Here is a 25878-nt window from a genome sequence, read left to right on the forward strand (position 1 = left end):
TGTCTGACCTGTGCTTCCCTCATGGTGTTTGAAAATGTCTCAAGAGCCAATTAACCCATGTGATGGTTCATTTTATGTGTCAACTTGACTGAGATGCCCAGACATTTGGTCAAACATTATTCTGGATATGTCTGTGAGGATATTTCTGGGTGAGATTAAAATTTAAGTGAGTAGACTTAGTCAAGGAGATTGCCCTCCCTGATATGGGTGGGCCTCATCCAATCAGTTGAAGACTGAATAAACAAAGAGGCTGAGAGGGAATGCCTCCTGACTACTTGAGCTGGGACATGGGTGTTTTTTGGCTTTTGGACAAGAACTGAAATACAGTTCTTCTTGGGTCTCAAGTCTGTTGACTTTCAGATTGGAACTTGCGCCATCAGCTCTCCTGTTTCTCAGGCCTTCAGCCTCAGACATATCAGCTCTCCTGGGACTTCAGCTCATTGACTGCAGATTTGGGACTTCTCAGCCTCCATAATTGCATAAGCCAATTCTTTATAATAAATGTCTTTATGCATATAATCTCTTTACATATATATATGAAAGCAGGACCAATAGGTGATATATAGATGTAGATATGGATATAGACATAGACTTAGATACAGATATTGATATTGACATAGATATTCTATTGGTTCTGTTTCTCTGGAGAACCCTGACTAATGCAACCATATTGCAGACCTTGGGCTTGGCTTCCTGAAGAATGTTCCTCTCAATCGTGAGTAAGATGTCAAGTCTCCTCAACCACACCCAACTTTTCATTTCCTATATTCTTGGCTCTGCTGTTGATTATTGTTTTCTCCCTAGAAGAAAGATCCCCTAAGATATGGGAAAGAACGATTTTGTAGAATCCTGCTACATGGAGCTAACAGGACCCTTAGAGATAATTAGGATTCTTATTTCAGAGCAGTGAGGTGCCTGTCCATGGTTTTGTTCTTTGTAGAAACTTGTGGAATGCCTTCCTGTTCCTCCAACTCTCTCTTCTCCTCTTATTGAAGGCTTAACCTCCCTTTTAGACCCAGCTCAAAATCTGCTCCATTTAGAAGGTCTTCCTAGATTCCCCAAGTTTGAATTCATTGCTCTGTTTTCTGTATCCCCACAGAGTTCTGTTCATATCTTTTACTTAGCTTTAATTTGTTTTATAATTGGAGATAGATCAAGAGGTAAGTTAGGCAGATGGGGTACAAGGTATTATTTGTAGTGGGATAATAAAGCATCAGTAAAAACAGAACAAGTTGGAGAAAATGATATTTATCAGAATTCTTCACCAATATGTAACTGGAAGAAAATTTGAGACTCAGAGAGATAAGGAACTTCTGCTCAAATCATTCAGCTAGAAAGTAGCTGAGCTTGGATTCGAATCCAAGTCTGACTGCAAGAGCCATGCTCTTGTTGGTTATTCATGCAATAATTTGTGTAAAATGTTAACTGTGTGCCAGGTACCATGCTAGACACTGGGATGCAAAAGTTCAAGCCTGGTTGTTCAGGGTTATGGCAGGTAGTGGCAGAATACAACCAAATTCCTTGTGTTAGTCTTTGGTCTCTAGGTCTGAGACTCTTCTGTCCCACTGGGTGATTTCACCACTAGGATACTCCACAGCCAGTTCCACAGGCTTCTTTCTTTCCAAAAGCAGACAAGACACTTTCTTAGAATAACCCCTTTGCCTGCCCCAATATCTTTGGCTGTGCCCACTGTGGAAAGAGAGCCAGGCTGCTGCCAAGTTCATTAATAATTTCGGCTTTCTGGAGGAAGGAGTTGGATTGCTTTGCTCTTCAAATATCAAAACATCCAATTAACACAGCTAATTAGCATCACTAGCAGCAGTCAAAAGAATGGCAATTTAGATGCAGAATTTCAAAGGTTTCCTAGTTGTAGGCCAAGGCAACCCATCTCTTGCTAATGACAAGAGTTACTCACTTAGGCAATTCTATAGCAGCCATCAATTAACCACTGGGCAGAGACTGGCCTCATCCCTGAGTCATTTGTCTAATCAGAACTGTGAATAGAGAAAAAGAGGCAGAATGAAAATGGAGAGAGGAAGAGAGGGAGAGAGGGAGATGACAGAAATGGAGTGAGGGGGTCTGAGAGAGGAGAGAGAGAGAATTAAAAGAGATAAACAGAGAGGAGGAGATACAGAGAGTAACAACACACAAAGACAAATTCTCAGAGAAAGTGACAGAGAGAGAGAATTAGAAGGAAAAACAAACAGAAAGGGTGACTTACAGATAGATAGACAGACAATCAGGTAGGTACATAGAAAAATACATTTCTTAAAACATACAGAAGGACAGGACAAAAAGCTTCTAGCCACCAGTAGCTTTGGAAAGGTCGGTGATCACTGGGAAGCCTCAGCATTCTGATCTGTGAAGTCAGGCCTAGCTGTAAAAGTTTAAATCAAAAGCTTGGCTGCTGTAGTGGAATTCAAAAGAGGAAGAGACCAGGAGACTCAAACCAGAACTTTTCTCTTCCCTTCTCACACTGACAACTGGATTTCCTATGAGCCTTGATTTGTCTGTCGAAAGTCAAATATGCAGCCAGTGCTCCCACATTTGTGTACCTTCTCCTGTAAACGCAGTAAGCTCAATGATCGGGCCTATGATCAGCCAGGGGGGTATTGTTTTCTCCCTCAAGGAAGGAAACACCAATGGATCTCCTACTGATTCCACCTCAGACATGACTTTCCCATCTCTCCTTCTCTCCATTGCACAGCCTCTGCCCCTGTTCAGGCCTCATGGTCACTTCTGTAGGTTACTGCAGCAGCCTCTGGTCTCTTCTTGTTGCTATCCAATCCGTTCTTATCACTGCTGCCAAAGCCATATGCCTAAGATGCAGAGCTGACTGTGTCCCTTTCTGACTTAAACCTTTTCAACAGTTCTGTACTTTCCCTGGATCAAGTCCAAACCCATTAATCATGGTAGTCAGGGCCTCTGTCTAGGCTCCTGCTGCCTTCTCCTGACCCATCTCTCCCTTGTCCCCATTCCTCACTGACGGCCCCACCACACTAGATGACATGGGGGCTCCTGGATGCTCCACACTGTCTTTACCTCTGGGCTCCTCCTCATACTACTTGGCCCCTGCAATACCTCAAATCCCTGTTCATCTCTGTGCCTTTCTATGTCTATGCTTTTGTTTCCATACTTCCCCTGCCTATCAACTTGTTCTTTGAATGACTTCATCTCTTAACCAGCATGTATACCAGTATCACAAATTCAAATGTCTTCAGAGGATGGATTCATAATGTAAATATGTGCAATGATAAGTATGAAACAATAGAGGGAGCAGTGACAAGTGAGACAGTAAATGCCACGCTCAAAAACCTCAAACTCAAAACTCAACCAACCAACCAACCAACTCACCAGACAACAAAACATTTTCCTTGCCATACCCACCATCTACAGGACGGAGTCAGCCATGGGCCACCAGTTGATGACTGTTGATGGCCCTCCATCTGTAACCTGACTCTAAGCTTGGCTTGGCCCACAGGGTCTTCTGCGCTCAGACTCTACTTTCAACTCTTGCTATCTCCATGCATCTGGCTCCCTGTTCAGGGGAATTTTCACAGTCTGTGCTGTCTCCTCCCCTTTGGACCTCACAGGGATGTTCACTGTGTGTAAATAGCTGAAAAGAACACTAACATTTACAGTGAGTAAGCCAATCCCATCATACACCTGGCCCAGGCAAGACGTTATTAATCAGTATCTTAATGAAGCCTAATTACAGCAGACGATGCCTCCTACCAGGTAAGGCAATGGTTACAGATGGGAGCAAACCAGGAAATCACTGCCCTCTCCCAAGAGCTTGATCCACTGCAGCACTGGAGGGTTAACTCTGGGGGTCTGAATGGCTGGACTCCCAGAGTCCAGCCGAGGGCCCTATTAGCAGTAAGAAATGACCTCTCTCCCTACCGCCAACATAAACGCAGATGGGACAGGAAGTGGAGCTGGGCTTCTAGTTGGTCAGTGACCACCTTCTCTTCCAGCTGACATTCTGTGTATTTCCAGACATGACTGGGTCTCCTTGTTTCTAGTATCTACCCCTGAGTCAGGCCTTGGTAAGGCATTATAGTCTTCAAAACATGATCTTTGGTTCCTCAACTTCTTGTTTTTTTCTTTATTCCTCCATTTACTTCTCTTTTCTCTCTACAGCACTCAAGCATCCAGGGTCCCTCCCAATCCCACCTTCTATTGCAGTTCAGTGGGTTAATAGTGCAGGCTGTGGAATTAATCAGCTCTAAGGTGAATTCTGACCCTCCACATCTACCAGCTGTATGACCTTGGGAAAGTTATTTTACTCTCTGGACTTCAGTGTCTCATAAGTTAAATGAGAACAATAATCTCTGTCTTGTCTTCTTCACATAGTTGCTTTGAGGTTGAATTGGGGAAGCCGTCTAGGGCAGTACCTGCCACATAACTGACTGCCCTCCCTTAATCCTGCAACTTCACTGAGAAGTCATTAGGGAGGAGAAGTTCTTGGCCCTTGCTAATTGCTCCTTTCTTGACTGGGGAATGAAGTATGGGCTTCACAATTCTCTCGAAATCATACTAAGGATATCCTAGACCACTGGTCTAGGATAACTCTAGCTCCTTCTGCATATACCATCCACTCCTGTTAATACAATAATTTCCTCATGTTACTCTCCTGCTCAAGAACCATCTCTGGCTCCCTGTTGCCTACGATCTAAAACTCGAAATTAGTACTATGGCATTTAAGGCTTTCCATGATCTGACCCCATATAACTTTTTCAACTTTAGTTCCTAAGCCTCCCTTGTATGAACTCAGCATTCAGGCCAATTTCTTCACATGCTCAGTTCTGTCACCGAGCCTTTATTCATCATGACCCACTCTTCACAATGTTTTCCCTGTTTTGTAAGTTCCTTCACTAGACTGTGAGGGTAGATGTTATTTTTTAAAATTTCAATATCAATAGAGCTGATAAAATGAAACTCTCAATAAATAGTTGTTAAACTGGGCTAAATGCCATCACTTCAAATACTTCTTCTCTTGTAAGTTCCAGAACAGATCCTTTTGGATGGTCTAATGTAGTCAAGTTCAGACTCTGAAACCAAAAGACTTTGGGTCAAACCCAAGCTCTACCACTGTGATGGTTAACTGTACGTGTCAATTTGGCTGGGCCATGATGCTCAAATAAGTTGTCAAACATTATTCTGGATGTTTCTGTGAGGGTGCTTGTGGAAGAGATTAACATTTAATCAGTGGACTTTGAGGCAAAGAGATTGTCCTCCATAATGTGGGTGGGCCTCATTCAATCAGTTGAAGGCCTGAATTGAACATAAGACTGACCTCTCTTGAGCAAGAGGGAATTCTGCAGCAGATGGCCTTTGTTCTTGAAAAGTAACATTGGCTCTTCCCTGGTCTCCAGGCTGCCAGCCCACGCTTGCAAACTGCCAAAATTGCATGAAGGCTAGGTGTGGTGGCTAATGCATGTAATCTCAGTGCTTTGGGAGGCTGAGGTGGGAGGATCGCTTGAGGTCAGGAGTTCAAGACCAGCCTGAGCAACATGGAGATAAACTGTCTCTACAAAAACAATTAAAAAACTGCATGAGTCAATTTCTTGAAATAAATCTATATATACATGCACACACACACCCTATTTGTCCTGTTTCTCTGGAACACCCTGACTAATACAGCCACTTACTGTCTGTTTACCTTCATCAGGTCATTTTACCTCATTGAGCCTTTGTTTTCTAATGTATATAATGAGGATGATTGTTCCTCCTTCACAGGGTTATTGTAACAACTCACTGTGGCCCTGACTGTGTATGTCAGAGCACCTGTAATTTGTGAGCTATTTCACCTTGCTAAATCTTATTATCAAGGTCCATCACCTCCAGGAAGTCATCTCAATTGCTCTAGCTCTCTTTTCACTTTGACATTCCTGGGGTCCCAGAGGAAGCTGGGCCCACACCACAGCCCTGACTTTGCCCTTTCTTTCAGCATCCAAACACATGTGATGATGCCCAGCACTGCATGAGCCTGGTGAGGTATGGAGGGACTGAGGAGGGGGCCTAGTAGAGATGTTAATACAGAATAATCTAGGGGCAGCTCTCAAAGCTATAGCAGAGGCTGCTGAGAAGGACTCAGACACAGTGCTGCAGTCAATTGGGTCCTGAATTGAAATTCATCCCATTGCTTTTTGTCTCGACAGGGTAATAAAAAAATCCTCAGACAGTATATTACGAATGCAAAGGTACAACACTGGCTCTCTGCTCTCCACCACTGTCTGAGAGAAGGGGACCTGTTGGGGGCCTGAAGAAAATGGGCTTTGAGAGGAGGATAGTGGGTAGGAGCAGATGGCACGTCTTTGGCTGAGCAGGGAGGGCTGGACCCTCACAGTGCTAAGCCAGTGCTTCCCGACCTTTCATGTCATGACTCTCCGAGAAATTTTTGATACTATTTGCAGACTGAAGGAAAAGGTGAGGGGCTTCCTTCTGCTGGAGGTTATTGGCCCTGAGGCTTGGGTCACTCCAGGCCTTGTGAGGCTGTGCAAGGGATGAGGGACCTGTACGTTGGTACAGCAGCAACCCATTCAAGCACCGAGGCTGGGACTCTATTTGATATGCTTTCCTTCCAGCTGGAAGCAGAGAAGATGCTGAGGTCCTCACAGGTGACTTGAAAAGCTCAGTTTGGAAGTCTTATTCGGGCCCTCAAGCCCCACTGGGTCTTACAGTTGCTGTTTTTCTTTTTGGATCAAGCATCCTGCAAATCTGATCATGTCATTCCTCACTCAAAATGACTATCACCTACATGCTTAAGCAGGGAACATAAAACAGGGACCCCACTTCTCCATTGCATCTCTTGCACTCTCTCCCCTAATGATTTCATCTATTTTTTTAAACAACACTCTTCTCTCTCTCTCTCTCTCTCTCTCAAACCAGTCTGCAGGTGGCTGGTTTGACTGATCTAGAATCAATGACCAGAAGATAGGGCTTTAGGCTAGCTTGGCTCCAGGCCACAGTGGAACTCAGGTCTGCCTTTCTCCCTGTTCATCCTGGGGTAGAGCTGAAGTGGCAGTGGCTCCCGTGACATGCTCTTCCCGTGGAGGATCACTGGAGTGGCAAGTGCCAGCCCAAACCACACAGGCACATGGAAGGCCTCCATCTGAGTTAGTTCCATTAGTGTCCCTTTGGCCAAAGCAAGTCACCTAGGTATGCCCAACATTAGTGGGGCTAGGAAGAATACTCCAACCACAGCCCTTCCCTGTACTTGAAGCTCCAGACAATTCCAGCTCCTGAAAACAGCATGTTGTGTCATGTCTCTGGGCATTGGCCTAGAATGTCCATTTCATTCTGTGAGTTTCAGCTCACGGGCTCCTCCTCTATGAAGTCATCCCTGTCTAAGGCAGAGTTATGTACTTTCTCCCTAATGTCCCCTCTCTACCTTATGTGTCCTTTCAGGGTACTCTTATTAATAGTAATGTTTGGATGTCCGTTTCTCCATAAGATGGCACTTTTGGAATGCAACAGCCTTTCCTGACTCATTACTGGGTCCTCAGCCACCTTGTATGGGGCCTGGCACAGAAGGAATGCTCAGAAACTTTTTGTTAAACAAATGAGTGAATAATTGAATAAATGAATGGCCAGTGTCTGGTCCTTTTGATTTCAATGTGCTCACCAGCCTCTTTACCTGGACCCACCAGTCTCTGTGTATGCTTTGACCCTGGGCCCATTAGGGTACAGCTCAAAACCCTATGTCTAGGTTATAACAGACCTAAGTCACACTGAATAGAGTCGAAGGTCCTTGACCCATCATCCATACTTGTGGTTGCAGTTTGAGTTCATAGAATGTCTGATCAGGGAAGAATATAGAGACTTCTTCATTCAACTGCACCTTAAGGGAAGAAGCAATGTCTTACTCATCTTCGATTGCCAATGCCCAGCACAGGGCATGTGACAGAGTAGGTGCTTGGTAAATATCTGTTTTGTGTTTTTCACTCTCACACTTTCACAGGTAGAAAAGTGAAAACCCAGAGCGGGAAAATGGAGTTACTGAGTTACACAGGCTGTTTCTGGTAGTCTGGATTCCAGCCTGGTTTCCCTGATTTCCAGGAGCCCAGAACCTAATGGACTGTTTCTAAGGCCTTATTTCTTGACACAGACCTAAGGTTACATGAAGTAGGTCCTTACTAACTTCTTCCAAATCCTTCTTAGAACAAATTGATGGGTCACTGGTGGGTCTAAACATGGATAAGGTCATGTTGCTTTAAAGCCATGAAGTCAAAAAGCAGTGTACTGTGGTAGCAAAAGAGCAGGCTTTGGAGGAGGCCGACAGACCTGGGTTTGCGAATCAGGAGAAATACTTGCTATGTGACCTTGGACAAATCCCCTAATTACCTTGAGCATCAATCTGCCCCGCAACCCTCCGCCATCACCAAATGGGACCATAATGCCACTCTTTTGGGGTTGTAGTAAAGATTCATGCTAATATGTGCCATTTACCTAGAACATCTTAATCTCAGGTGGTCAATCACTTACAATGAAGTTGTGTTTTCAAATTGTACTTCAAATCTGGCCTGCCGCACTTGCCATCACCTTTGGAGATTGTTTGCCCTTACAAAGACTTCCAGTCTAGATGCCCTGCCATCCTGGTAGTTTAATATTCACTGTGCTGCTGCTCACTGTGGAACAGCCACTGACCATAAAGTTTGACATTTTGAAGATGAAAGTTCTTTGAATTAGTCATGCACATGTGAAGTCATTGTTCCTTCTTGTCCTGCTCTGGAATCTAAAAATGACTTTCAACAGAGCCCAGTAACTTTCCCTCAACAATCACCTTCCGGTGAAGAGGTATGGAGGAGTTTAGGCCAGGTAGAAACTCTCAGTCACTCAGAAGAAAACCAAAGCAGAGTGAAGGCAATGTGCACCACATTTGGAGAGAGGGGTCTGTCCCGCCACAGCTTCGCAGTCTGCTGCCTCTTTGAGGAGCAGTAGGGGCTGGAGGGCTGTGAGAGGTGGGACAGGGCAGGTGAAATCTCACAGGCAGTCTGGATGTGAGGACAGGAGGAAGAACAGTGCTGTGGAATCCTGGGGCTTTGGGTTCAGAGCTTGGCTATGCCTCATACAAGTTTGGTGACTCCAGGTAAGTTAATATCGTGGGTTAACGTTTTTTTTTTACTTGTAAGATATAGTGACTGCTTCATAACGCTGCCATGAGAATTAAAGAAGCCATAAAGCACTTAGCACAGTATCTGGCACATAGTAGGCAAACAGTAAATCTGTCTCTTCTCTCGAGAGATTCCCAGCTTTCTAAAACTCAGGCGCCTTCCTCATGCTGTAAATGTTGTGCATTCCCAGAATCCCAGACATCCACTCGCACATACTATCACTAAAGTGCTTAGCCAAGGGGATGTGTGCTTGAGATTTTCCAGTCTGCCTTAGTGCGTATAAGTAGGGGTCGACTACAGTCACACTTTCTTATGAGGGAACTCAAAAGAAGAATCCTCTTTTGCTTTAAAACTGGTCATCTGGCTTCGTGTGCCTCTGTAGTGGTGCAGACAGTTCTCCATCCAGGCAATCAGATGGCCTCCCAACCACCTGGTCAGCAGATCCCTGACTTATTGGGATCCCCATGAAGCGAGCACACAGAATTGTAAGGCGTAATAATAGATATCATCCCTTACCAGGAGCCAGTCACGGTGTTAGGTACTGACATGCATTAGCTCATTTAATTCTCACCACAACCCTGAAAAGTTTGTACCATTACTTGTATTCAACAGATAAGATATATGAAGTTCAGAGCAGTGAAGTAACTTGCCCAAAGTCACACAGGGCCTGGAAGTGGCAAAACTAGGATCTGAAACCAGACATGTATGATTTCTGAGTCTGAGTTCCCAACCACTGAGCCACATCAGCTCAAATCCCCGCATTCCTGGCCTTTGCCTGACCCTGCACCACTTAGTTGTCCTGGCTTTCTCCATAGCTGGGCTGAAAGATGTGATAGTCTCAGAGGATGGTGTGAAGGATGCACTTTACTCACATTTGCCTTGGTGTAGTGTCTAGCTAGACTTCAGACAGCTGCGTGCTTGCACTGTGTTTTGGGACTGTGCCCTTGGCATTCATCAGGGGACACTATGAGAGGCATCCTCATGACACTCATGTTGGCATCTGCTGAAGGAATGCTCTTGAAGCCAGAGGCCACTGCCTCCTACTGGGCCCCCACATGGATTCCCAGGTGAGATGTTTCTTTAAGAGCTCAGGGCTAGGAAATGCCTTTCATTGCTTTATTGTGGCAGGTGCTTTTGTTATAATTTACCACAAGTGATAAATAAATGAGCAAGCAAATTAAAATAACTGGCCCATGGACACATCCACCAGGATGTCATGTGGGCCTCGGGAGATTACTTTCTCACCACAAACCTTTCCTGTAGGACACACTGGGAACAGAGACTCCTCTGGGCATGCTGACAACCTCTGGTTGTCCCTTAACTCAGTTCACAGTTAATTCAGCCCCTCATCAGACACTCAAACAAGAAGCTACTCTGTCCTCTCTTGGGGAGGCAGAAGTGACAGACAGTGAACCCCAAAAACAGTTCCTTCAAGGTGAAGGTCAAGTCCCCAATTTATGAAAAGCTCAATAGGTATTACACTATTTGAATCTGAATCTGAACTATGGTATGAGGAATGGGGAAAGTGAAGGAGGGAGAGAGGGAAGGAAGAATTGGAAAAGAACAAAAGAAGGAGGCAGCAGAGTGGGGCTGAAAGGGATATGAGGAAGGACAGGGACTACCGAGCCCCTGCCCAGGTCAGAGGCCACTGTAAAAGGCACTGACACAGGTCCCCTCATTCAATCCTCAACATCAGTTAAGGTGTCAGAGCACAAAGCATTGCTCAAGGTCATCGAAGTGGAGAATACTTAATTCTCCACTTAAGAGAGGACAGAGTGGCTTCTTGTTTGAGTTTCTGATACTAAATATGTATTTAGTGCAATGCATTTCCACTATTCGCCTTGAGAGAGGGAGCTAAGGCGGAAGAAAAAGAGAAAAAAAAGTGGAAGAGGTGGGAGGAAAGAAGGGAGGTTGGGTGGGGGGAGAAGATAAAAAGTGGAGAAGGTAAGAGAGGGTGTAATAAAGTTATGTGCAAATTGTGTGTGTGTGTGAGTGTGTGTGAGTGTGTGTGTGGGAGAGAGAGAGTCAAATAGAAAGACAAAAAGACAAAAATGAAAACAAAACGGGGAATGAAAGAGGAAAGAGAGATGACCTATCAGGGAAGAGGAATGCTATGCAGAGAGAGACCTGGGAGAACTGAAGGGGGGGTGCGTCTCCTGTCTCCAGCCCCACAAAGATAGCTCAAGCCCTCCAGAGCATAGGTCTTAGCCCTGACAAAGGACCAGGCTGCCTTCCAATCCTCGATGTGGAAGGGAGCCTCTCACAGCAGCCATGCACCCTGGGGGCCAGGAGAGGGCACTTCAACCTCAGGCAACTGCAACAAAGCCGCAGCTTGTGGTCCCCCAAAGACAAGTGGCAGAGGGAAGGAGCTGGAGAGAGTCCAGACTGTTGCTCAGTTCAGTGGGTTACCAGCCCTGTGGCCAGTATCCTTCTGATGGAGCTAGGTTCTGATGCACATCCCTACTAACACAGGCTGGGAATTAAACTGACTTGGGTCCTCTGTGGCTGCCTCTACACCGGCCCAGCGCCTCCTCTAGGCCCTGCCCCTGCCCCTTCCCTATTCTAGATCTTTCTGTCCAATAGAGCAACATGCTTCCAACTTCTCCCCAGCCCCCTCCTGCTCTTCCCCTTCACCAGGAATCATCCCTTCTTTGAGTCCAGGGTGAAACGGTTTTCAAAATCATTTCTCGCTTACTATGCCATTTGATCTGCCCGGATATTTACAAGGTAGGTGCAGTAGGGAGAGTGGGAAACTGGCACAGATGAAGTGTCAGCTGTCTACATTCACATTAAAAAATTAAAATCACTGGACTTTCCAGTTCTTAAATTCCATGATGAGAACCCAAGTGTCTTAACTCTTTATCATAACATATTTCCTCAACACCAGACTAAGGAGGGCTAATATATGCTGTTTCTAGCAGAGCATCAAATACCAAATCCCAGTCACAGACTGAACCCTGGCTTTAGTCACAGATCTTGACTGTAGACTGAGTCCTGAGACTAATCCTAAATGAATTTGTCCTGGTAAAATTTCCAAACTATGCACGTGAGGACAGAGATTTCTATTGGGGTATCAGAGTACTCTGAACACACCTTTAAGAAAGCTGTTATTTAAGAATCTGAAGAACCTCTTAGGAATCTTAAGAACCCTTCATGGAAGTTTCCATGAAACCTATAATCCAAACAGATTTCATCTCTTCTGATAACCTAGGAATTTATTATTCAGATTTCATCCAACTGGGTACTTGGCTAGTAATAATAATAATAAGAGCATCGTTTATTGAGTGCTTATTATGTTCCAGGTAATCTATTAGGCACCTGAGAATTTGTTTTGCTTCCATCTACTCAAAACAACACTGTGAGGTAAATATAATAATCATTGTTACAGATGGACAAACTGAGGCTCAGAGAGATTAGGTCACTTGCCTAAGTTCACACAACTGGTAAATAGCAGAACCGAGATTTGAACCCAGGTCAGCCTGGCTCCAAAGACTATGCTTGCTTCATTCTATTATTAACGATGGCATCTGTTATATCTCAGCTATTAGCTTCTCAATCATATGGCTGATTTCTTCAAAGAAAGTGTCTTTTAGTGGAGCAATCAGAGGATTTAATATCAGAAGAAACAAGTTCAAGCTTCTGTGAGGATATTGCCCCACCACCTATGCACTGTTCCACCTGGACAGGCTTCCTCTTAATCCAATTCTGAGTTTCTGTACTTCTAGAGGCTGAGACTGGTCCTGGCTTAGGATACGAACACAGAGACAAAATGCACCTCCTTCTCTGACCCTTGAATTCCTTGTTTGTAAAATAGAGATAATAATACTCATCTCTACGGATTGCTGTGGGGATCAAATGAAATGATGGTTCCGAATACACTTTATACACTGATGAATGCTGTTTATTTCTGGATGGCTTACCCAGGTCTTGGCATTCTGCAGGAGCTTCATAAATACCATAAAAATATGTATATTTTTTTCTTTTCTTTTCTTTTTTTTTTTTTTGAACTGACATCCAAGCATCCTTTACCTCCTCTCTCTCCTCTCCACTGACTCATGGCCAAAACTGCATGGATTGAGAGCAGTGGTCCTGACCTCCTCCTCCCTCTAAGTTCCAACTTGCATCCCTCCCAGCCACAACTCCCACCTCCTGTCTCTTGAGACATATCAACAAGCCAAGCACGGCCACAACCCCAGCTAAAGGCCCTTGTCTCAGACAGAGTTGGCAGCTGCCTCCTCTTATTGGCAGCACATTTATCATCTTAAGGAAAATATTGATGGATAAGAAATCCCAGACAGGCAGCATGTCTTGGCTGGGCATGCAGCCTGAAGTGAGGTATGAGATGCTAGTTTTAGCGTCTTTCTGAAAGAAAGGGAGAGTTTGTGCTCCTGTAGAGAATGGCCCTGTGGCCCCAGGGGTCACAGCAAATCCTAAGATGACCATGTCCTACACGTAGTCGATGTTCAATAAATGTTATATCTAAATTAAATAAACCCTTTGAATGAGCCTGAAGGATGGAGGCCCTTTGTCCAAACCCTTCATTTTACAAATGGGATCTCGGGCAGGGTAGTGATTTGCTCGAGATCACAGCAAGTCAGCAGCAGAGACTGGATTAATAAAGTATGTGGCTCATGAATCTCACATCAAAATACTGTCCAATACCCAGTATTCCACTAGGAGATATCCCAAACTTCTGGCCAGACAGTATGATCTGACAAACTGGATCTGGGCTCCCGAGGGGAATCAGGAGGAAGGAGATCCTTAGATTTACTTTCAGAGCCGATCTCCCAGGAACACATCCTTTTAAAGATGAAAAGAGTTAGAAGGGCAGGCGGGTGTTACTTGGTGAGGTGCTGTGGCATTTACTTACGATATGTTCACCTATCTCCAACTGACCCCATTCAACTCATCCTGCCCGCTGCTGCCACAGTGACCTCCAGGCAGCACTGGTGTGGTTGTGGGTCACTGGTGCTTCACTAGCTGGTTCCCATAGCCTTCTCCGGCCTCATTGCCTCTCACTCCCTAACTCACACCCAAGGCCCAGACATGTCCACAGGAGGAAAGCAGCTCTCTGGACTGGGCACAACTAGTCTCTCTGCCTGCAGAGCACTTTGCTCCCTTCTCATCCTTCTAGACTTGGTAAAAGTGATGGTGCTTCCTTCCTGCACCTCCTCCCACCCCTTGATCCCCTCAAGGTTAGGTTAGATGCTTCTTTTCTCCATGTCCTGTGTTCCCATCTGTCACAACTGTCCTGCAGTCACTCTCCTGCCCATCTCCTCCACCACCTGGGAACCTCACCATGCATAGGCTACAGCCACTCAGTTCTGCATCCCCAGAAACCAGCATAGGGCCTGGTACAGCATAGGTGCTCAGTGAGTGTAGCCTTGGATTCCAGACCCTCCCTGTCCTTATCTTCCCCACAAAAGTTCAGAATGGAGCTATCTCCCACTGGCTCTTGTTCTAGCCTCTAGAGCCACAGAGAACAGATCTACTCCCTCTGCTTCATGAGAGCTCTTTAGAGCAGGGGTCCTCAAGCCCCTGGCCATGGATTGGTACTGTGGCCTGTTAGGAATCAGGCTGCACCGCAGGAGGTGAGTGGCAGGTGATGGATCATTATGACCTGAGCTCCTCCTCCTGTCAGAACAGCACTGGCATTAGATTCTCATAGGAATGCAAACCCTATTGTGAACTATGCATATGAGGGATGTAGGTTGTGCACTTCTTTTAAGAATATAACTGATGCCTGATGATCTGAGGTGGAACAGTTTCATCCTGAAACCATCTCCCCTCCTAACCCTGGTCCATTGAAAATTTTTCTCCCATGAAATCGGTCCCTGGTGCCAAAAAGGTTGGGGACTGCTACTTTAGAGATTTGACCAAAGCATATATGTAGCCCCTAAATGTCTTCTTGCCAAAGAAAATATCCCCAATTATTTTTACCAGTTCCTCATATATCATAGCTTTGGGTAGGGTGACCAACCATCTTTGTTTGCTAAGAAATGTCCTGGTTTTGGCACAGAGTCCTCTGTTTTGGGAAACTCCTCACTCAGTCCCAGGCAAACCAGGGCAGTTGGTAAACCTAGCTTTGTGTTCCCTTTCCAACCTGATGCCTCAGGACCTGTGCACCATTTTATCAATATTCGACATAGAGTAGGGGCCAGAAATGAACACACAGTTCCCAGGGTCGTTGACATAACAGGGCAAAGAAAGGCCAACACCTCCTTACTCCCCAAATCTATTTCTGTGAATGCAGCCAAAATCAGCTTCAATTCTGGCAGAAGGGTAGTGTGGTGGATGTGGGAGTTGACACATTGCCCTGTTGATCAATATCAAACTTAATAGTGTCAGTTAAGATGCCTAAACCATTTTACTGCACAGGAAACCTCATTTCCCCAAATCATTACTTCCAAAGCTGCTTTCGTTTTATTCTTTTTACTCTAAAGGCAGAAATGACTCAACATCTTTGTTCCAATTATTGTCCAATTAAGCCCCCCTCAAATGTTCCAGGCGTTCATGCATTCAACAATTATTTATTAAGCTTCTCCAACATAGCAGACAGTCCCTCTCATTGTCCTTGGACTGATAAAAGTTAGGCCTAAACCTGAAACTGGTTGGAGCTAATCTTGGGTCTTTCCACTTTTGGGCTCTTCCCACACTTGTGCAATAAGAAGGTGGGAACACAAGTATTATATGCATAAGTTGAAGGGAATATTCATATAGACAAACAGGTTCAAGTTACTTAGGAACCAACCAGGATTTATTTTGACCGTAAGCTAACAGCCATAATCCTGAAACAATATCAACTCTCTTTATCATCGACTTGGTTTCCATGGAGGCTTGCGGGTGCTGCTAGTGAAGGCTGACAGTTATCACTATAAAGAAACTTTACAACTTTGTAATTTGTAGCTCTCTGCTGACAGTAATATTAACAGCATTTCAAATTATGGCCATAAACTTGACAACAGCAGATAAAACCCTTAGAAACCTCATTTTAGGGGATGAGGGAGGCTAGGGGAAGGTAATAATGTTTAGGTTTTCCAGGCCTGGGCAGGAGACATTCAGAAATCAGGGGCACATTTTGATCTGGAGGTGAGAGGCAGTCAGCCCAAGGCAGGGCTCACAACAGGCAGCAGCTCAGCCGGGCACTGCAGAGAGAGAGTCTGGGCAGCATCCAGCAGAGCTGCAACTGGGCTATCAGGGATTGCAAATCGGTCAAACTAGGGACGCTGATCAGAGAGAGGGGTGAGAGTGAGGGGTGAGAGTAAGGGCTGACTGGTAGGTCCCAACCTCTGCAGGGTTCAGAAAAGGCTCTTGTCCAACAGGAAATGGATGGAAACTGGGAAGATTACAGAGCAGGGAGGAAGGTTAGATAAAAACCTAACAGGCAGAGTGGAGCGAACACACACTTTGAGCTGGATCAATCTGGATTTTACATTCGCACTCTACCACTACTAGCTGTGCAGCCTGGGGCATGTAGGTTGATTTTTTTGGGCTTCAATTTCCCTGCTTGTGAAATGGAGATACTATCTCAAAGGTCCAAATCAAATGATTCTCTATGTATCTGGAAATAAACTTAAAGATCACATCATTTCATCTTCTATGCTAAAGATAGGAAAATTAGGACCCAAAGCAGGGAACAGACCTCCTCAAACCTACACCACAAGTTACAGGCAAAGCTTATGCTCTAGTGCAGGGACCTGAGCCTCTTCATGAAGCACATTCTCAATATTATTATTTTTACCATTACTGCTACTATTATTATTAGTCATTCATTCAGCCAGATAGTCAATCAGAAGGATTCATATTTAAAGATCAAACTCTAGCCCATGTCTGTAGGGAGGAGAAAAAAATCAACAGACTTCAGTACAGTTTAGACTTCGGTTCCCAAAACCCTCTGATGGAAGCTTTTTTCACTTATGAATCTTAACAAAGCTTTGACCTTGGGTATGACACACAAGAACTGAGAAGTACCTAGGTATCTTTAGATGCCAACCAATAGGTGAAACTTGACTGCTTCCTACTCTTCTGTCCTCCACCGAAAATTTAGTGAAGGCTCTCTGGCAAGAACAAATATCTAGGCAGTACCCATCCCCAACCACATACAGATGCCGATACTGTTTCTGAACAGCAGAGATCACATAACTCATTGCCTTGTTCTTGATCCAAGTGGATTAGCAGATGTTGGGTGAGGCCTGCTTCCACTTCATTCATTCATTCATTCATTCATTTGCATTCACTGAGTATCTACCTAGTATCAGGCTTTAGCTAGAGAGGTGAAATGATTTAACCAAGTCCACATAGCTTTATGAGGGGGTCAGGGGCAAAAGGTCATACTGGAACTGGGGTTTTAACTCACAGTCTAGCTTTCTTTTCACCAAGTTATCAAGCAGAAGCCCACCTTGACTGTGTACACCAAGAAAATCTTTTCTTCATTGTGACTTTATAGTACCTCGTAGAAAAATCTATGTTGAGTCTATCCAAAGCCCAGGCCTGTCTCCAGAACGTCAGGCCTTTAGAGCCCTCTGCCAACCAAACTTTTCCATTTGGATTTTACATAAGTCCCTTATACTCAATATATTACATACAGAGCTCAAAATATCCCCCTCTCCAACCCTTTTCTCCAATAGTCTGTAGCTAAATGATTGGCCTTAACAGCTATCATCTATCATATTGTTTTTTATTTTTATTTTTATTTTTTTAGATGAAGGCTTGCTCTGTCCCCAAGGCTGGAGTGCAATGGCATGATCTCAGCTCACTGCAACCTCTGCCTCCCGGGTTCAAGTGATTCTTCTATCTCAGCCTCCCAAGTAGCTGGGATTACAGGGGCCCGCCAACAAGTTTGGCTATTTTGTTGTTGTTTTTGTTGTATTTTTAGTACAGATGGCGTTTCACCATGTTGGTCAGGCTGGTCTCGAACTCCTGACCTCAAGTGATCCACCCGCCTCAGCCTCCCAAATTGCTGGGATTACAGGCATGAGCCACTGCGCCCAGCCCCATATTGTTTTCGAATCAAGAACTGGGCATCTTACTTGACTCTTTCCTCTACCCCGTATCCAAATAATCAGCAAGAATACTCAATCCGGCCAGGCATGGTGGCTCACGCCTGTAATCCCAGCACTTTGGGAGGCTGAGGCGGATGGATCACGAGGTCAGGAGATCGAGACCATCCTGGCTAACATGGTGAAACCCCGTCTCTACTAAAAATACAAAAAAAAAAAAAATTAGCCGGGCACGGTGGCGGGCGCCTGTAGTCCCAGCTACTCAGGAGGCTGAGGCAGGAGAATGGCATGAACCTGGGAGGCGGAGCTTGCAGTGAGCCGAGATCGTGCCACTGCACTCCAGCCTGGGCGAAAGTGAGACTCCGCCTCAAAAAAAAAAAAAAAAAAAAAAGAATACTCAATCCTACCTGTTAGATATTGGAACATGTTAAAATGGGACTTCTAAAATTGTAGTTTCGACTGAGATCTCAAGACTATAGACATTACAGTTCAGAGTGAAGTATGAAACCACCATGCAGGACTTGCAAAAGTAACCCAGAAAACCAGTTTCACCATCTTTAGCTCACCTTCAGACATGAGAGCCAGTGGAGGGGAATAGTGACCCCAACAGGGGTAAACCATCAGATCACCAGAGGCTTAGGAAGGAACCATAAGCAACTGAACTGAGCAGACACATCTGCTCACATCAACAGAGCTCAAGCACCAGGAGAGGGTGTGTCTAAAGAAGTTCGTGAGGGACTGCCCATGCTGTCTCATGAGAGTACTAGTCCCCTAAGACCTTTCCTGTTCCTTTTCTCCTCTCCCTCATCTTGCTCAACCTTGGAGGAGTAAACAGCTACTGTTACCCAGATTGAGGGGAAAGGCTGGGAAGCCAAGTCAGGGAAACAGAAGTGAGCCAGACCCTAACCCCTTGGTCACATGAGCAGCCTATTTGAGACAGGTCTGAGCTAGAGGATGGGGAGGGTTTTTACTTAGAAGAGGTTTGATGTTTTTGATTGGATCAGACATAGTCATTGCTAAACTGAGACTGTTTTGTGACTAGAATTAATTAGAGAACTTTTAATTTCCTGAGAGTGACTGGAGACTCATGGGGCCTGCCAGAGCTTTTATGTCTCTAGATCTATAATCTCTATCTATCTATCTATAAAGCCAATGGGAGACAAAAAATAAAGTTGTTTCATAATTGCACCTTGTGAGTACTGCCTGTTCAATGTACCTGTTACATATTTCACAAATCTTTCTCTTTCTCTCCATGGTCTGGCTCTGCCTATATTTATTAATCACCTGCTGCTTCTGGCCCAGCCCCAGCTACCCTCCAATCCTTTGGATGTAGCATCCTCTCTCTGGCATCTGGGTTCTCCCCTGTACTTCTCCCTCTGCATTCCATTCATCCTAGAAGTCTGAGCCCTAGTTTCTCTTCCTCCACGAAGCCTTTCTTCCGACCCCCTCCTGCACCACCCCAGCTGGTTTAGGTGACTCCCACTGCTTCCCCAACCAGCAGAGTTCCCCTCTGCCAGAACTTTTATCCCTCTGTGATGCTATTGTCTCTTTACCTTTCTCCCTCCCCTCAAAACTGTCTTCATCTTGAAAGCAGAGACCAAGCTTTTTTCATCTGTCTTTTTCTAGTGTCTAATGTGTTTGGTTGGATGGATGAGTAAATAAACGATAGCTTCAATGTGTGATGTAGGCTTCAGAGGACGCAGTGCAAGGCATATATGGGCTCTGAAATGAGACTAACCCAATTAACTGAATTTGATATCTCAGCATCTTCTCTTGACCACATCAGCCATACCCTTCCCCTTAAGAGCCAGCATTTTCTTATTTCATTGTGTCCACAGCTACAAGCCTGGGTGGAAACCAGTCTGCTCAGGACCCAAGGTCTCTGTTCCCAATGTTTTTCTCATCCATTATGTCAAAGAGCTATTTCTTCTTGGCTTGTAACCAGACTAAAAACAAATGCCAGATAAGCTCTGGGTTACTTTATGATTCCAGTTTAGCCTTTCTCTCCCTCTTTTTCAAATCGTTTGAACAGAGCATATTTATTACTTGGCAGGCCAGTAAAATGTAAATAGGGTTTCCTGAAGAATGGTTCAAAATTCGTAGGAATTTATCATTTCACAAAAACAACAAATGACAGGAAGGAAAGGCAAGGGACCTAATATTTAATGGCACAGACTATATGCCCGGTGATTTATCTGCATGCATTCTCCCATGCAGCCCTAACAACAATCCTGTGATGTAAATAATCTTCCTCACTTTACAGATGAAGAAACTGAGGTTCAGAGTGGTTAAATATGGGATTAGGGTCTCAGCGAGAATGACGCAAAAGAGAACTCACACCTAGGACTCTGACACCAGCACTGTATTCTTGCCACAGCATGGACAGGAGAGAGGCCAAGAGGCCACCGGCCATGGCAGAAGCCTCTGAGGATGTCTCTCTTTTAGGTTCTGTTGAAAGCTATGGGCCTTCCTCCCAAAAAATGAACTCTGCATATTTACTCACAGCTTTGCATACATTTTAGATGGTTCACAGGGTTTTGTTGAAGCCATCTGTAAGCCCCTCAATTAAGAACCCCTAAACTAAAAGAATGAAGGTAGCTATTGGTTGGGCCTGACTAGCTGCCCGGGACACTTTTGTATTGATTTTACCTATTAAATTAGAAACTCTTATGTTCATGGAATCACTGAATATTAAAACTCAATAAAAAAGTATGCATTATTGATAACATGGAATATTGATAATCCATGGATTATTGATCCAATTAATCTAAGCATGGAATTATATAACTTACATTTTAGAATCAGGAACATCTTAGAATGTCAGAGCTGGAAGGAACTAGAATAGTGATCAAGTCCACACATAATTTTATTCCACAAAACTCTGATGGGTAGGAAGTATTACACACACAGGCTGAGAGAGGGGACAAGACTTGCTGGAGGCAACCCGTAATAGCGTGGAGTCAGAATTCAAATACTAGTTGCTAGTTCCAAAGCCAGATTGTCAAGTTAAAGATTCAACCAACAGAAGGAAAGCCATGTAGTCTGCATGGGGCTGAGACAAGTCAAGACAAGAACATTTGTTGAGTACCTACCAGATGCCAGGCAGTACCAGGAGAATGCAGATATAGTGCCTTATTTCACCCTCCCAATAACCATGCAAAGTGAGTACTATTTTTATTTTACAAATCGGGAAACAGATTCAGAGTGGTGAGATAACCAGTACAAGGTCACACAGCCAGGTAAGCACCAACCACCATGTCCATTTATTTATTTCCCAGATATAGTAGAGAAGGGAAGTCAGAGAGCAAAACCCTGGTCATGTTTGGCTGGTGCTTTTCCAAGGAGAAGAACTGAACCAATGGACACATATGCTCTGGTCTGTGGAGCGGCGGACACTATTCTGGACCTAGATGAAATATCCCTTGGGATTCTCTGCAGCCCCAGCCCTTCCTGATGTTATACTCATCCAGTATCCTCTAGCTAATTAGTCTGGCCTCCATGATACTAGGAAGGGGGCACCCTGGATGACAGAAACAAGAAACTCCATCAGTGGAACGGCACATCTCCCACTGTGTGAATCAGTCACTGTTCTGCGGTCAAGGCAAGACCCTCAACTGTGATGACCCCACCAATGCTCTTTGCCCTACAAACCCTAACAACAGCTGCTGATTTCTTGCTATAACAGCCCTATCTATCTTCTTTCACACAGACAGTGGTCCTCATTCACATTCACATAAACCTTTTCAATGTCACTTAATATTTAGTTCACAGTGCACACTCACAAAAGCTATTTCCTTTAACCTCACTGCAACTCGGTGAGGTTAAGTATTATTATGTCCTCCTGCTACAGATTAGGAAACTAATCTGAGGCCCAGTGAGGTTATACAACTCACCCAAGGTGACACATCTAGTAAGTGGGTGAGCCTAGGATTCAAACCCAGATATGTCTGAATCGAAAGTTTGTTCTGTTTGCATAATACCACATCTATACTTTAAATAAATATCTCTATTTAATTCCCACAGCAGGGGTTAGACAAGTGTGAAGGTCCTTGGTCCCTTTGTAATGGTGAGGAAGCTCACCTCAGACAGGTTACAGGACTTGCTGAAGGGTGCTCTCACGGATGATGTTGGTGCTGTCATCAGAATCCAGGTCTCCTGATTCCTAGTCTAGAGGACATTTTCTCCCAGACCATATTGCCTTTCCCATCAGACCATGTAATTTCTTTTTATGATTGGGACATGGAGCCAGCAGCCAACAAAGATCACAATCTGTCTCCCTGAAGTCTCCCTCTGTTATGAAATGAGAGTTTTTTTTTTTTTTTTAAGTATTTCAAACAGAACCCAGGTTAAATCACCCTTGCATGCATTGAATCGGCCTGAGCTTCCCTGGTGCAGTTTGTTTCCTCTTCTCATCCTCTAGAGGACAGAACAAGGCAGGGTAGGTCCATCAGTATCACGACCTGCTCAGCTTGTGCATAGCCTCTCTACTCACCTTAACCCCTTCCAATCACGAGCTCCCATTCCCTGTCGCCACTCCCAAATAGTCAATTACCAAGTCTTCTCAGTTCCACATTCTAAGTATTCTACAGCCACCACTCTGGTCTTGGCCTGGATTATTTCTCACCTGGATTTTTATAACAGCCTCCTAATGCATGTCCCTGTCTACAATACTGGCCCCCTCGAATCTGTCCTTCCATTGTCTACATTCAAGATCAAACTTCTTACATCTTTCCACTTCAGACTTATCATTGAGTCTGAAGTCCTTCAGCCCTAAGGGACCACTTACAGCTTCTGCCCATACCTTCTGTACTCCCCTCTCTGTCTACCACATCCTCCCTTCAACAACACCCTCACCCAGTTTGACTAGTTCATATTAAAAACTCAGTTTAGGCCGGGCTCAGTGGCTTACACCTGTAATCTCAGCACTTTGGGAGGCCGAAGCAGGTGGATCACGAGGTCAGAAGTTTGAGACCAGCCTGACCAACATGGTAAAACCCCATCTCTGCTAAAAATACAAAAATTAGCCGGACATGGTGGCGCACACCTGTAATCCCAGCTACTCAGGAGGCTGAGGCAGGGGAATCGCTTGAACCCAGGAGGCAGAAGTTGCAGTGAGCTGAGATCATGCCACTACACTCTAGCCTGGGTAACAGAGTGAGACTCCATCTCAAAAACAAACAAACAAAAAATCTCAGTTTAGATGTCTCTTTTCCTGGGAAATCTTCCCTGACTCCTAGGACTGCGTGTGAGTTCCCTCTTTCCCCCATGTAAAGACATTCTTGTCTTTAGTATGTTCTCTGTTACATTCCCTGTGCCTAGAACTTTACCTGACCTATGACAGGCACTCAATATATACTTGTCAAATGAAAATGTCCCAGAGCCTTCTGGAATTCCTCCACCAGAATTTATCACATACATTGTAATTATCTCTTCCCTTTTCTGTCTCCCCAAGTAGACTGAAAGTTCTGTGAGTCAGGAATCATGCCTTTTTATTCAGTATTTTACCCTAGGTGCCTTTTATGATTCCTGGTATGTACTAATGCTGTGTTTACTTTTGATAAATGAGTGTTGGCTGTTGAGGGGTGGAAACCTTGGGCCTGAACCAAGGGTGGGCTTTCTACTAAGAAACACATTTTCTTCTAAGACAGAAGCATGTCAGAAGTGCTAAGAAAAGGTAGGAGAGCCTGTCAGATTGGACAGCAAAAAACAACAAACTAAGGGCAGGCCTCCTCTGGAGGGACCCTCATCTCACTATGAATAAGGGTTGCAGAATCCCCTTTAGTGCACAAGCTCAAACTCTTATTCCAGGCAGCTCTCTGTCCCTTTGCCATAATATTATGGGAGAGCAAAGCAAGTACAATGTGGAATGAAGCATATGCATGTGTTATAGGAGTTAGCAGATTCTGGAGAAGGCATAGGCCATATGCATCATCTAAGGTGTGTATGGGGCATGAAGAGGGGCAATGTGGCACATAACAGGTGGCCAGGACTTTGGAACCCACAGACCCTCTTCCTCAGAGCAGAGCCTACTCCCTTGGCCTTGCTGAGTCAGGTGGGTATTAAAGCAGACTGCAAGATGACCCTCAGTCTTGATGACTGTACATAGGGAACTCTCAGTTCCAATCATAATATCTCTGTGTCCAACAGGATGTGGAACATTGCTCTAACACCTGGCCTACCCCCTGACAGCCCCTCCTTCTAGGGCCATTGCCCTACTTCCGATGTTCCTGGCAAGGTACCTGGACACCATACCCCCAACCCTCCCAAACACACATACAAACAGAGCCACTAAGTTGCAGTTGGCTGGTGGGACTAGCCCTAAGTCATGCCACGTTCAGAAAAGATGTTTTCCTGCACAGAGGAATTCCATAAACACTCACCAAGGGTTGAAAAAATGCTAAAAGAGCACTTCTACCTCCAGGGAGGGGGAATTTGCAGAAATACAGAGTTCATTTCATCTAAAGTTCCTTCCTCCTCCCTCCACTTCTCTGAGAAAACTAAGTGTTAGGAAAGGAGACATAGATCAACCCGAAAACAAAGGATCAAGGAAAGCAGAATCTGCCACGATCTGTTACAGCTCTGATGCAGTGACCTTGATATTAAAATCAACACTCGGGAAACTAGAGTTACTACCTAATCCTTAAAAAATTAGGCAAACTAGAAAATAACTTCTAATTTCATCATGGAAGGCTTTGGAGTTTTCAGAGAAATTTTATGAAGAAACTAAGAGGAAAAGGAATTTGTCAAAGGAAATGCAAAGGCAGAGAGAAAGATGCACAGAGGATGAGAGGGGAAAGACAAGGAAGACAGAAGACAGGCAAAGAGGAGAGAAAGAAAAGGAGGATGGGATGAGAGAGAGGACAGAAAGGAGGGGAGGAGGGGGAAAAAGAAGTAAGGAAAGAGAAGCACAGGACAGGTGAGGAGGGAGGAGGAGGGCATAGAAGGAGAGGGAACAAGGGTGAGAAAAGTAAGTAGAAGGGGAAATAGTGAGTAGAGGGAAGAGAAAGTGGGAGAGGATAGGTTAGACAAAAGATGAAAAGAGAACATATGTTTTTGTATGTTCAGGGTTAGAAGGAGTCAAGATCATCAAGCTCTTCCTCAGCAACCCTGGGGATGGTCATCCAGCCTGTGGACTTGCATAGCTTAGATGGCAGGAGACTCACTGCATCATGAGAGAAGAGAGGGGAGAGAGATGGAAGCAGAGTAAGATATGGGCAGGCCATGGGTCCGGCTGGCCTGGGAAAGATTTGGAGCATGGCAATTGGGGTAGGAGTATCATACTAAGGGCTGAGGCAAACTGGACAATCCAAAGACGCCACCAGAAGAAGAAGCACCTCCATCCTCACCTGAGAGTCTCAGCCCTTACCTGAGCTGGGGGCCTAATTCCTGACCTGTCAGACTTGGATACTCTCGGCTGGATGAGGGCTGGCCCAAGGCTGGGTGGGGACTAAGGATACAGGCTTCTTCAGTGTAGGGCACAGCAGCCGTGGTGCCACTGATGATGTAGCTGTAGAAGGAGACCTCTAGGGTGTAGCAATAGGAAGTGTGGTCCAGGAGTCCACCGAGGAAGCGACGGCCAGTTCCTGCTTTCACAGCGTCCCGGTTAAAGGATGTGCTGGACTGTGAAAGACAGAGTAGGGAGGAGAGAATCACGGCACCTGCTGCAAATTGGATTGTGGGCAAATTTTACAACACCTCTGGGTCTCAGCTTCACTGTCTGAAGAGTGGGATATTAGCCCCTCATCACATGATTATTATAA

General features: G+C 44.9%; 1 protein-coding gene across 8 annotated transcripts in view; it reads right to left on the minus strand.

Moving 5' to 3' along the window:
- Positions 1–25878, minus strand: part of AGBL4 (AGBL carboxypeptidase 4) — a 1501444-nt gene that overhangs the window by 38918 nt on the left and 1436648 nt on the right. For all 8 annotated transcript variants that reach the window (NR_136623.2, XM_017002595.3, NM_001323575.2 and 5 more), the window contains one exon: positions 25576–25738. Coding sequence is in view for 7 of the 8 variants with exons in the window: in XM_017002595.3 (XP_016858084.1) it covers positions 25576–25738 (163 nt within the window). In the remaining variant the exon portion in view is untranslated. The remainder of the gene's footprint in view (positions 1–25575; positions 25739–25878) is intronic.

The sequence above is a fragment of the Homo sapiens genome, chromosome 1, assembly GCF_000001405.40.
Source record: "Homo sapiens chromosome 1, GRCh38.p14 Primary Assembly".
Lineage (NCBI taxonomy): Eukaryota > Metazoa > Chordata > Mammalia > Primates > Hominidae > Homo > Homo sapiens.